Source organism: Homo sapiens, chromosome 12, assembly GCF_000001405.40.
Source record: "Homo sapiens chromosome 12, GRCh38.p14 Primary Assembly".
Classification (NCBI taxonomy): domain Eukaryota; kingdom Metazoa; phylum Chordata; class Mammalia; order Primates; family Hominidae; genus Homo; species Homo sapiens.
In genome coordinates, this window is record NC_000012.12 from 54,914,704 (window position 1) to 54,929,239 (window position 14,536).

At 37.7% G+C, this 14,536-nt stretch overlaps 1 pseudogene, besides 1 other annotated feature; it reads right to left on the bottom strand.

The window, feature by feature from the left end:
- Positions 1–1,525: 1,525 nt before the first annotated feature.
- The window catches only part of LOC105369778 (small integral membrane protein 10-like protein 1), a 30,020-nt pseudogene continuing 17,009 nt past the window's right edge, over positions 1,526–14,536 (bottom strand).
- Positions 2,593–2,801: a silencer, noted in NCBI's record as "fragment chr12:55311080-55311288 (GRCh37/hg19 assembly coordinates)". NCBI's record gives its function as "represses an EF-1alpha promoter that drives an FKBP-Casp9 reporter gene in an ReSE screen in HepG2 liver carcinoma cells {active_cell/tissue: HepG2}" and the evidence as "EXISTENCE:reporter gene assay evidence [ECO:0000049][PMID:32094911]".

Genomic DNA, 14,536 nt, shown 5'->3' on the forward strand with positions numbered 1-14,536 from the left:
TCAATAAACATGATACATCACTGTAACTATATTTTGTCTTTTAGCAGAATAAAAGACAAAATCAATATAATTATTTAAACAGGTGTGAAAAAAGAATTTGATAAAATTCAATATCTTTTTATTACAAAAACTTTCAACAAATTAGTTTGGAAAGAATGTACCTCAACAAACTAAAGGTTATATGTGACAAACCAACAGTTAACATTATACTCAATGGGGGTAAAGCTGAAAGCCTTTACTCTAAAACCTGGAACAGGAAAGCGATGTCCACTTTTACCACTTCAATTAAACACAATCATATAAGTCCTAGCCAGAGGAATTAGGCAAAAGAAAGAAATAAAAGGCATCAAAACTGGAAAGGTGGAAGTTAAATTTTCCCTGTTTGCAGATGACATGATCTTATATAGAGAAAGAAATCTAAAGAATCCACCAAAAAACTGTTAGAACTAACAAATGAATTCAGTAAAGTTGCAGGATACAAAATCAACATACAAAAACTAGTAGCATTTTTTTTGAACTTTTAAAAATGATGTTTATTTATATTAGTTTTTAATCAAAGAAAAACATATACATAGTTAAAAAGAAATCAAATAATGCTGCTGGATTGGTAGTGAAAACCAGCAAACCTTTGCCTTTTCTCTACCCACCCCGATTTCATTTTTCCAGAGACAATCACTTTTAACCCTTAGCAGTTTCTTATTGTAGTTTTTGTTTTGTTTTGTTTTGTTTTGTTCTGAAAAGACATGTGTATACTGCTTTTTCTGGACTTTTCTACAACAGACCTTGATTGGCTTGCCGCCATTACACAATCTCTCTTCTCTCCCATCCTCCCAATGTTATAGAATTATTTCTTATAAAATCAATATTCAGTAATTACATAATTATGACTAACTTTATATGGCTAGTATTGTTCACAGTTCAGATATACAGTGTAGTTTTTGAATTTTTATTTTTCCTGGGGTTCATAATTACCTCAGTTTTGTTTTCTTAACAAAAGAAAAATTTGCAGATCACTAATTTATCCCCATGCTCTCTGGAAAATGAAAGCTCTCTAGTCTATATTCAAATACACCAGGTACTCTATCAATTTTTATTTTTTCAAATATTCTACCTGAGTTCTCCATCTTTAGGCATTTCCTGTTGACTTCTTACTGTTCTCCCCTACCATTCTCCCTCTTTAATACAGTTATATTACTATTTTAGAAACTTTATGGTTACCTTGTAAGTAATAAATGTCTTTTCTCCCTCAACAACAGACCATATCTTTCAACTTCCCCCCGCCAACTTTTTTTTTTTTTTTTTTTTTTTTTTGAGACGGAGTTTCACTCTTGTTGCCCAGGCTGGAGTGCAATGGCGTGATCTCGGCCCACTGCAAACTCCATCTCCCAGGTTCAAGCTATTCTCCTGCCTCAGCCTCCCGAGTAGCTGGGATTTCAGGCGCCCGCCATCACACCCGGCTGATTTTTGTATTTTTGGTAGAGACGGAGTTTCACCAAGTTGGCCAGGCTGGTCTTGAACTCCTGACCTCAGGTGATCCCCCCGCCTCGGCCTACCAAAGTGCTGGGATTACAGGTGTGAGCCACTGTGCCTGGCTCAACTGTCCACTTTATAAGGACACTATCACCATTCCATTTACCTTTCTCTCTCTCCTTCAACGTTCCCACTTGTATTTCCGCTGATATTTTTAAAATATGGCAGATAACATTTGCATTCCACTTGGTAACCTTAATTAAGTAGGCCCCTAATCAATAAAAATCATAAACAGGATTTTTATTTTACGGTTATTTAAACGCTATTCACTGAACAGCCAAGCTTTGTGCTAGGAAGGGATTTCTTTTTCTTTGGCTCCAAGCTCTTGATTGACATCCTGCCACAGGAGCATTGAAATACAGCCCATTTTCTTACACTCTCACCATTCATTCAAAATCTTGCAGCATTTTATATTTGGTACTTGGAGGAGGATGCTTTTCCTGTACAGTTTTATTTTTTTTCACCTAGTTTCTAATTATTATTGTTTTCTCTTGTGGGATGAAGAAGTATATGCCTTCTATATCATATCCTTAATACCTTCAGCTTCTTCCTCCTTGAAGCCTTGCTTACGATCCAATCCAATATTCCTGAAGTTTACTGATATTTTTTTCCTGAAAATTTTAGCCTTTAGAAAAAAAAAAGCGTTCTTTGCCCTTTTTCACATCCTGAAATTTGTCAGGTGTTTATTTTAAGGTTGCATAGTTTCTTAGATCTTTTCAAGGTTCTTAACTGAAGTTCTCTGTTCCCGGAGTCGCATATTTCCTCTTTCTAGGAATTGCAGGCTCTCCGTGCTCCCAGAGGAGTTCCACTGGCAGTGAAGAGCCCAGCCACGAAGGGCGCCTGAGCACTCTCAAGACTGTGGGACTCGAGGTAGGCAGCTCTGCTGCGCCGCGGGAGCCCCTGGGAGTCTGCCATCATGCTGTCCCGGGAGGCCGAGGCCGGCAGCTCAGTGGCGGCTCTAAAAGTGTACCTGCAAGCAGATGTTGAGGATCACAGAGCCTGCAACGACATACAAGTATTGGAAGTTCATGAGTGCCAGGCCAGCTCAAAGAAGGCAAGGAGGGTGTGGGAGAGTCCCTTGCAGAAGACCCCGTTCGAGGTGGGGGCCGCAGAGGGGCTTGAGGCCCTGATGGCCAAGGAAGACGGAGCCAGGGGCAGGGCCATGGGCCTCGTGTGGCCCCCCGCTCAGGTCCTGGAGCCAAGGTCCGCAGACCTCCCCAGCGATGGCCAGGACTGGTGGCGAAGGAAGGCAAAGCAGCCGCTGCAGCTCCGTCCAGTGCAGCAGGAGCAGGTCCTCCAAACTAGTAATATTTCTATAGGTTAATAGTGAACTACCTAAAAAAAGAAATCAAGAAAGCAATCCCATTTATAATAGTGCCAAAAAACCTAGGTATAAATAATATAATCAAGGAGGTAAAAGATCTCTACAAAGAAAACTGTGAAACACTGATGAAGGAAATTGAAGAAGGCGCAAATAAATGGAAAGATATCCCATGTTCATGGGTTGGAAAAAATCATGTTAAATGTCTGTATTACCCATAGTGATTTACAGATTCAATGAAATCCCTGTCAAAATAGCAATGACATTCTTCATAGAAATAGAAAACAATGTTTAAATTTGTATGGAAGCACAAAATACCCTAAAGAGCCAAAGCAATCTTGAGCCAAAAGAACAAAGCTGGAAACATCACAGTACTGAATTTCAAAATATCCTATAAGCTATAGTAGCCAAACAGCACAGTACTAGCATAAAACAGACACATAGACCAATGGAACAGAATAGAGAATTCAGAAATAAATTTACATATTTACAGCAAACTGATTTTGACAAGAGTGCCAAGAACATACATTGGGGAAAAGACTGTCTTTTCAATAAATGGTATTGGGAAAATTGGATATCCATATGCAGAAGAACAAAATTAGACCTTTATCTCTCACGAGATACAAAAGTCAACTCAAAATGGATTAAATATTTAAATATAAGATTGAAAACTATGAAACTACTAGAAAAAAATATAGGGGAATACTTCATGATATTGGTAGGAGCAAGGAGCTTTTGGAAAAGGCCTCAAAAGCATGGGCAACAAAAGCAAAAATGAACACATGGGATTTCATCAAACTAAAAAGCTTCTGTAAAGCAAAGGAAACAATCAACAGAATGAAGAGTCAATCTACAGAATGGGAGAAAGTATTTACAAACTATACATCTGAAAAGGGTTTAATATCCAAAATATATAAGGAACTCAAATAACTCAATAGGAAGAAAACAAAGAACCCGATTTAAAAATGGGTGAAAGACCTGAATGGACATTTTTCAAACGAACTTTTGCAAATAGTCCACAGGTATATTAAAAAATGCTCAACATCACTAAACACTAGGGAAATGCAAACCAAAATCACAGTGAGATATCACCTCACTCCAGTTAGAATGGTTATCAAAAAGACAAAAAAAAAAAAAAAAAACAAGTGTTAGCAAGGAGTGGAGAAAAGGGAAACCTTACATACTACTGTTGGGAGTGTAAATTAGTACCATCATTATGGAAAACAGTAGAAGAGTCTTCAAAAAATTAAAAATAGAAATACCATATGATCTAGTAATCCCACTACTGGGTATACAGTCAAAGGAAAAGAAATAATATCTCCTGCACTCACCTATTTATTGCAGTACTATTCACAATAGCTAAGATATGAAATCAACCTGTGTCCACCAATGGGTGAATGAAGAAAATGTGATATATATGATATATATCATACATAAATATATACACACATATATTCACACATAGAATGGAATACTATTCATCCATAAAAAACATAAAATCTTGTCATTTGCAACAACATGGATGAATCTGGAGGACATTATTAGGTGAATTAAGCCAGACACAGAAACAAAAATATTGCATAATCTCACACATATGTGAATCTAAAACTGTTGATCTCATGGAAGTATAGAGTATAAGGGTGGTTATCAGAGGCTGAAGTGGTTGGGAAGAGGGGGCATGATGAGATAGTCATCAAATAATACACAATTACAGTTAGGACGAATACATTTCAAGAGATCAATTGTAGAGCAAGGTGACAATAGTTAATGATGATACGTGGTATTCTTGAAAAATGTAGAGAGTAGATGTTATTTGCTGTCACCACAAAAATGATAGCTATGTAAGATAATGCATCTATTAATTAGCTAGATTTAACCATTGCACAATGTATATGTACATCAAAACATCATGTTGTCCATGACATACTACATGTTGTTTATCAACTTAAATACAAATAAATAAAAAAAATCAGTTCTACAAAGAAAAAAAGTTTGATAGAATTCATTAGTAGAAAAAAAAACTAGTTGCCCCAAACCACAAATAATTTGCCCTCTCCTCTAATATAATTTTTTGGATATATTCAAGTTTCACATCTGCCCCATAAACCCTTCTTTTTGGAGAGCAAAGCCCTGGAGGCTCAGCATATGTTTTAAATTGGTGCTTAATATTCAGAGCCACAGTCAAAATGAAAGAAGCTGGCTCTGCTCAGATCACTTGTCCATCTGTCTTTCTGTTCTCTTTGCATTAACATTTCCACAATCTTTCCTAAACCTGCCATATCATTAACATGAAACATTCAAGTGGAAAGAAGCCAACCAGTATCTTCCTACAATCAAAGGGAGGCTGGGAAACTTAGGTGAATCAAATAGAGATAAATCTTCAATGCTACTCTCTTTCAGTGACAATGTGAAGGGCTCTGGCTGAAGTGACAGCAGTCGGTTGCTGTCCTGTGGCTAAAAGGAAAGATAAAGGTGTTGAGATGAGACACCTGCTATCTTAAATCTGTTGAGAACTGAAATGCCGAGCTTTATCTATTAGGTTAGGGCAAAAGTTGGCATTAGCTTTAATGGCAAAACCGCAATAACTTTTGCACTAACCTAATATATCCCTATGATCCCCAAACTGGAAGCATCCTAGTAAAAAGAGAGGTCCAAAAAAGTTCCAATACTAAGTCCTGGTTATTCTATTTATTTATGGTCTTTCTTTGAGTATTTAGTACATTCTTTCTATGTGACAGGACTGCGTTGGTGAATAAGATGATAGGTTCTTTCTCTTCCAAATGCTGAGGAGTATTCATTCGGAATCATAGACATTGAATAAATAACTACATATATGAATGTAACAAAATAAAATGAAGGGCCATAAGAAGGATTAAAAATGAGCATAAACTCTTTCCTAGCACCTCCACTGTGGAGAAATGGATTCAAACAGAAGAAATTATGGGAGTGAGTAGCCTGGCTTGATTTCTTATCTTACCTCACCTATCTGCATAATATGATAAACAAGTTCAATTCTCTTTTCTCCTGTGCAAAGAAGTGAAATTTTTCTCCTTTATGAGACAAAGAATAAAAGCAAGAATGAAGTGAAACTGGTTATCACTATTATTTTGACACTGGAAAACATGATAACTAATTAATGGTTTATACTTTCTCAGTGGCAAATGAAGCATGACTTCTTCCATACTCCCAAACCAGATAGCAGTCCCCAATATCCATGGATCAATCTCCTGAACACCAGAAATGATTTTTGTCATTCTTCTCTTAATGTATCCTTTTCTTCTCATTTATAACCAAGACCCTCAAAGAAGCGAATGGTTATGACGTCTTCTGGCATTTCCCAATGAAGACGTCTTCAGCTAAGAATTAGGGAGGAAATCATTAAGTTCATTGAAGGCAATACACAATTTATTTTTTAGTACAAATGCAGCTCTTCCTCTGGGCTTGGGAATGATATGTGGTACTCCAGTTTGTTGGTTTATTTGTGTCAAAACATGATACAGACATTTTCAGCTTTATCTACTGATACTTTCCTTAATCTGATACCCAAGCTAAAAATAACAACTTTGTTCTTTATAGCCAAATAACCAAGGAATCATTAATCTTGCAGTGCTACAAAATGTCCTTCCAGATTTCTAAATAAAATGCATCATTTAAGTAACCTATATTTGTCTGTATTTTAATACTCTACCATTGAACAGTATTGAAATAGAATGAATGTGTGGTCATTTATAAGTATTCTTATCATATATCCCTGTCAGTCTCTTTAAACTCCCCAGTGTCTCCATGACAATTCATAGGCCTCAGGAATATACTGACACTATGTAAAGAATATTACTACAATGATACCTCCTGTGAAAGTGTGATTACAAAGCATAAGTTCAGAAACTTACTAATTGTAGTTGTGTCTTCAGAAGAAATGATGGTCATGACCTCTGGAAAATAAATAAGATAAATTAAGAAATTACTGATACTCCTACTAAATAGTTGGCCAGCTAATTTCCTACCAACTCAGTTAGATTCAAATGATATAAACTAATGATAGATAAAAGGAACAGGAGTAATATAAGAGTATTCCTAAAAAGCATAATTAATAATAATAATTTCTAACTGTTTTTAAGATAAAACTTTAATTCTACTTAAAAATAATTTTTTACTGATGTGGCAGTCTTCTTTCCCTGGATATATAGTGGTTAAGAAAGAATAAAATTTCTCAATATCAAAACTTGTGTTTTCACCTCTATCATCAGTATTGAATGAAGTATCTTTAGATCCAGGGTGAAGCTGCTCTTAACTAGCTTCTAAAGAGTTCCTCAATCTTTTTTTTTTTTTTTTTTTTTTTTGAGACGGAGTCTCGCTCTGTCGCCCAGGCCGGACTGCGGACTGCAGTGGCGCAATCTCGGCTCACTGCAAGCTCCGCTTCCCGGGTTCACGCCATTCTCCTGCCTCAGCCTCCCCAGTAGCTGGGACTACAGGCGCCCGCCACCGCGCCCGGCTAATTTTTTGTATTTTTAGTAGAGACGGGGTTTCACCTTGTTAGCCAGGATGGTCTCGATCTCCTGACCTCATGATCCACCCGCCTCGGCCTCCCAAAGTGCTGGGATTACAGGCGTGAGCCACCGCGCCCGGCCGAGTTCCTCAATCTTTATTCCCATAGACTTACCACTGGAAACTATGAGGCTGGACACACCCGCCATCACAAGAAGAACCAGGAAAGTAAATGAAACAAATCTGTGAAATACAGAAGGCTCAAGTAGGTAATACGCTAAGTGCTTGGATATTAGTTGATGGTCCTTTTATATCAGGCATGATCTAATAGGACCTGCTTTTCATATTAAGGTTTAGTGATTTGAAACAAGGACAATAAGACTAAAACAAACAACATAGCCTGAGGCCCAATGACAAGGACATTGACTTCAAAGCACCTTAGGCATTTAAATGGAATGTGAGGCCAAGATGTCTAAACCAAAGAATTATCTAAAGAAGACTCTCATTTCTTAGGTAACCTTCAGATATTTTTCTGAGATTTTCTATCAAAAATTATTTGAACTTAAACTTTTAGCTTCTTATAGCCTGTTCCATATAAGTTAGAATGTTCCCCTTTTCCAAGATGAAGTTATCTTATCCTCCAGATTCCCTTCTCTTCAATATCTTCTAAATTATCCCCTTTCATTTCTCTTTCTTAAAGTCTATATTTCTTGTTATTCCTGACTTTTAACACATTATGTAATTCATTGTAAATCCTTCTTTTATTAATCATTAAAATAAACAAAACAAAAGAGAAATGGGATCTAGAAGTTAAATCTTCAAAAAGAAATTTTCCAATCTTTTACCCATCACTGTTCTTATTCCTTTTCAACCTTTCTTTATTCCAGAACACACTACATTTACTATCTTCTCTTCTTCCATTTTCCATACATTTCTTATCTTGTGTTAATGTAGTTTTCAACCCTGTAACACTATCTTACTTATCTGCTTTATGTAATACTATTGACTATTTCTTGAAAGTCCTTGATCAATTATTTTGTTCCAACTTCTTTGACTACACCTTTGCAGTTTTCTATTTTAGATTATTTTTAATAACCCATTCTTATGATTTTGTTCTGTTCTTCCTCTTCTCTCATTAATTTACTTTTTTCCTGTGTCAACTAATTCATACCAATATATCATTCATGTATTCATTTTTAATTTTTTAACATTTATATTTAACCAAGACTACCCTTCTTAGTTCCATAGACAGATAAGTAGCAAGGTAGGTGATAGAAAGTTAAAAAGATAGATAGAAATTGTTAGAAAAACTTCAGCCAAAATGTAAAGGAGTTTAATGGAGCAATGAATGACTCACAAATCAGGCAGCCCCCAGAATCACAGCAGATTCAGAGAGGCTCCAGGGATGCCTCGTGGTCAGAACAAATTTATAGACAAAAAAAGTAAAGTGACATACAGAAATCGGAAGTGAAGCACAGAAACAGCTGGATTAGTTACAGCTTGGCATTTGCCTTATTTGAACACAGTTTGAACACTCAGCAGTGTGTATGACTGGTTGAGATATGGCTGCTGAGATTGGCCAAGACTCAGTGATTGTTACAGGTGTATACTCCTGAGTTAGGTTTTCAATCTTGTCTACCTATTAAATTAGGTTGCAGTTTATCCGTAAGGACTCAAATATAGAAGTATGGAGTCTTTCTCCAGCCATATTTAGTTTGTTTTAACAATATTCACCTACTAAGCTGTCTTCTGTTGTCATGAAGACTAGTTTAAGATTTACACACACACACAGACGTGCACACACACACACACACACACACACACACCTCTTTTGCTTATGAGCAATCAGGCCCCTTAACCAGAGAAATGTAGCTATATAAGATAGCAATAGTTGCATCTTGTATATCCTTTTCTCAGGGCACACTTTTATACCTGAAGTAAAGTAAATCATCCAAGATTGGCTGGTAATTATATTTTCTATTTAATAATTTTTCAATTTTTGATTATTACAGTTGTCCCTCAGTATCCATCAGGGATTGGTTCCAGTACCCCCTCAGATACCAAAATCCATGGATGCTCAAGTCCTACAGTAGCCCTGTGGCACCCGTGAATAGAAAAAGTCAGCCCTATGTATTTATGGGTTTCACATCCCATAAATACTGTGTTTTCCATCCATGTTGGGTCGAATCTATAAATATGGTATCTGTAGATCAGGATGGCTGACTATTTGCACATAACCTATTCACAACCTCCCATATACTTTAACTCATCTCTAGATTGTTTATGTACCTAATATAATGTAAATTCTATGTAAATTGTTGTTATACCTCATTGTCTTAAAAAGTCTGTATATGTTCAGTACAAATCATCCATTTTTTATTGGTCAAATATTCTCAATCCATGTTAGTTGAATATGCAGATGCAGAACCCATGAATATGGGGGGCTGACTGTATTATAAATAATTCTGTGCCATAACAATAAGGCTCCAACTTCAATGAGGGGATTTCTGGTTAACATTAGTAGGAACATCTAAACGAATGGGCTTGGCATTATTGACATAAACAATGTAGGCAACTTTGTAGCAGAATTTGAAAAAGTGACACACACACACATGCACACACTTATTATACATATATTAGTGGTGTTTCTTCCAATGACTGATAGTGATGCTGTGGGAGTTGGGTGGGCATGAGATTGCAAAATCTCCAGTTCAGTGACTTAGAGATGTCTCAAATTCAGCTTTCCCCAAATCACACTTTTTATATTGTGAACCCAAAATATCTGAGACATGTCTCAGTCAATTTAGAAAGTTTATGTTGACAAGGTTATGGCATGCCCGTGACACAGCCTCAGGAGGTCTTGATGACATGTGCCCAAGAAGATTGGGATACAGCTGGCTTTTATACATTTAGGGAGGCATGAGACATCTATCAGTACGTACAAGATGTACATTGGTTCGGTCTGGAAAGGTGAGACAACTGGAAGGCGGGGGGGCCGTCCAGTTCAGAAGTAGATAAGAGACAAAAGGTTGCATTCATTTGAGTCCTTGATCAGCCTTCCACCGAATACACAATTTAGTCTGGCTCAGTGAATCTGCATTTTTACATAAACAATAAGGCAGAGGAAGCAATCAGACATGCATTTGTAACAGGCGAGCCTCAGAGGGATGACTTTGAGTTTTTTTCTGTCCTTTGTCCACAAGGAATTATCTTGCTGGCAAATTGTGAGGGAGTTAACGTAGCATTTTATCTTTGTAGCTATCTTATTTAGGAATAAAATGGGAGGCAAGTTTGCCTGACATAGTTACCAGCTTGATTTTCCCTTAGCTTAGTGATTTGGGGATCCAGAGATTTATTTCCCTTTCAAAATATATTGCTCCTTCTTTATTCTGTAATTTTAATTTAGGTACTGAGACGGTTTGGGTGTGTCCCCACACAAGTCTCATCTTGAACTGTAGCTCCCACAATTCCCATGTGTTGTGGGAGGGACCTGGTGGGAGGTAATTGAATCCTGGGGGCAGATCTTTCCCATCCTATTCTTGTGATAGTGAATAAGTCTCATGAGAAATGATGGTTTTATAAAGGGGATTTTCTCTGTACAAGTTCTCTTCTCTTGTCTGCCACCACATGAGACATGCCTTTCATCTTTCATGAGACATGTCATGATTGTGAAGCCTCCCTAGCCACGTGGAACTGCAAGTTTATTAAACCTCTTTATTTTGTAAATTGCCCAGTCTCATTTACGTCTTTATCAGCAGCATGAAAATGAACTAATACAATAAATTGGTACCAGTAGAATGGGGCACTGCTGAAAAGATACCCAAAAATGTGGAAGTGATGATGGAACTGGGTAACAGGCAGAGGTTGAAACAGGTTGGAAGACCCAGAAGAATACAGGAAAATGTAGGAGCTTGGAACTCCTTAGAGACTTGTTGAATGACTTTGACCAAAGTGCTAATAATGATATGAACAATGAAATCCATGCTGAGGTGGTCTCAGATGGAAATGAGGAACTTGTTGGGAATCGGAGCAAAGGTGACTCTTGTTATGTTTTAGCAAAGAGACTGGCAGCATTTTGCCCCCGCCCTAGATATTTGTGGAACTTTGAACTTGAGAGAGATGATTTAGGATATCTGGCAGAAGAAATTTCTAAGCAGCAAAGCATTCAGGATGTGACTTGGGTGCTGTTAAAGGCAATCAGTTTTAAAAGACAAGCACAGTATGAAAGTGTGGAAAATCTGTGGCCTGACAATGCAATAGAAAAGAAAATCTCATTTTCAAAGGAGAAATTCAAGCCAGCTGCAGAAATTTGCATAAGTAACAAGGAGCTGAATGTTAATCACCAAGACAATGGGGAAAATGTCTCCAGGGCATGTTAGAGACCTTTGCATCAGCCTCTCCCAGCATAGGCTGGAGGCCTAGGAGGTAAAAGTAGTTTTGTGAGCCAGGTCCAGGGTCCCTCTGCTGTGTGCAGTCTAGGCGCTTGGTGCCCTGGGTCCCAGCCACTCCACCCATGACTAAAAGAGGCCAAGGTACAGGTTGGGCCATGGCTTCAGAAGGTGCAAACCCCAAGCCTTGTCAGCTTCCATGAGCCTGTGGGTGCACAGAAGTTAAGAACTGAAGTCTGGGAACCCCCACCTAGATTTCAGAGGAAGTATGGGAATGCCTGGATGTCCAGGCAGAAGTTTGCTGTGGGGCAGGGTGCTCATGAAGAACCTCTGCTAAGGCAGTACAGAATGGAAATGTGGGGTTAGGCACCCCCACACAGAGTTCCCACTGGGGTGCTGCCTAGCAGAGCTACGAGAAGATGGACACCATCCTCCAGACCCCAGAATAGTAGATCCACTGACAGCTTGCACTGTGTGCCTGGAAAAGCTGCAGACCCTCAATGCCAGCCCATGAAAGCAGCTGGAAGGGAGATTGTGTGCTGCAAAGCCACAGGGGTGGAGTTTCCCAAGACCATGGGAACCCACCTATTGCATCAGCGTGACCTGGATGTAAGACATGGAGTCAAAGGAGTTCATTTTGGAGCTTTAAGATTTGACTACCCTGTTGGATTTTGGACTTGCATGGGGCCTTTAGCCCTCTCATTTTAGTCAATTTATCCCATTTGGAATGGGTGTATTTATCCAATGCCTGTACCCCCATTTTATCTTGGAAGTAGCTAACTTGCTTTTGATTTTACTGGCTCATAGATGGAAAGGACTTGCCTTGTCTCAGGTGAGACTTTGGACTGTGGACTTTTGAGCTAATGTTGAAATGAGTTAAGACTTTGGGGGACTGTTGGGAAGGCATAATTGGTTTTGAAATGTGAGGGCATGAGATTTGTGAGAGTCCAGGGGTGAAATGATATGGTTTGACTTTCTCCCCACACAAATCTCATCTTGAATTGTAGCTCCCATAATTCCCATGTGTTGTGGGAGGGACCTGGTGGGAGGTAATTGAATCATGGGGGTGGGTCTTTCCTGTGCTATTCTTGTGATAGTGAATAAGTCTCATGAGATCCGATGGTTTTATAAAGGGGAGATTCCCTGCACAAGCTCTCTTATTTTGTCTGCTGCCATGTGAGATGTGCCTTTCACCTTCCACTATGATTGTGAGGCCTCCCCAGCCACGTGCAACTGTGGGTCCATTAAACCTCTTTCTTTTGTAAATTGCCCAGTCTGGGTATGTCTTTATCAGCAACATGAAAATGGACTAATACAGGTACCATAACATCAAGTATGACTCTTGCATGCTATCTGTATCATCACAACATGTAAAATGCTTGAATGTCCTTGGGCATGTTAGCAAGGTCATACAGAAACATAGACTAGGAATTTTTATTCATGACGATAAAGAAGATGTTAGGTGTGTTAACGTTAGTCTATGACTTTTTAAAAAATAAATAAATGTTAGTCAACTTCATTTATATCCTTTGCCTAGTTTGTCCATGTAGATTGTTTCCCTTTTTTCTTATCAATTTATAGGCATAGTTTTACCTTATTATGTGTTTGATATAATGAAAGTTTTATTTGATATGTAAATAATATCATGTAATTTGAGTAAAGCTTCCTCATGGGAAATGAAGCTCCTTTCTAATGTTGAGGATCTGGACTCCATCAATATCCTTTCAAATGTGCAAAGTGGGAAGGGGCAGGGATGCAATTCATACGAATTTTACATCACTAACCTGTTCTTACTTGTTATTCTCAGTGTATTAGCATTGGCTTAAGAAGACATAAAATCTAACCAAATTTGCAGCTCCAATATAATTCAGAGACATAATTATGAACTACAGTTGTAGTTTCTATGAAGAAATTTTTGGACATAGCAAACAAGTTGGCCCATATGAGAGATAATGAATGGCTTTAACTATTTCAGAATTTGGGTACCATAGCATGCCATTTTGGGGCTTAGAAGATAATGCTCCAAAATATGGTGTTTTGGCATGCTGAGTGCTTGAATTAAAGGAAATAAAAACCCTTAGAAGCAAGGTATCTCTCTGACTTTCCCCTGCCTTTCTGATCTTCTTTCTTTTCCAAGTACTGAGAAATTTCCTCTTCTGACTAGCGGAGTTTCTTTACAAAAGAAATACAATTGTTTTAAGATTTTCTCCCTGGTAATCTCATCAAATAACCAGGAAATATTAACTACCAGAGAAAAGACTGGGAGTCATCACATCCAGACAGGTTTTCATTTATTCTTCTGAGGGTAACTCAAAGGGTTTACATGGGAAAGTTTATCTACAAAATGAAATAACTTTTGTTTACCGTGAAATTCTACTCTTCCCCTTCCTGCCACCTCCCCTAGAGCACATTCTCCCTGAAAATCAATTACTCCTATACCCACTCCCCATCTCACCTTCTTCTATGAAGAAGGGTATATAAGCATCTGGACCTCATTGGGTTATTGGATAATCATTCCCTTGAAATTCCCTGGTGTGCATGCACATTAAATAGATTGGGAAGCAAATTTTTATGTCTTAAAACATTTAGCAGAGATAGTATTTGATCTGTTAAATTAATTTGAAGATGTTTCTATTTTATTTTACCAAAGATTTTAAAAACGATCTTTACCAAAGATTACTAAAGTCATGTGAACTGAAAGGTATTTGAGTTAAAGTTCTAATTTTTCTGATAAAATATTTGATTTAAGTACTTTTTTCTTTAAGCCAATTAGAGTTCTTTTATATATTTCAGTAGTAAAATTTTATATACA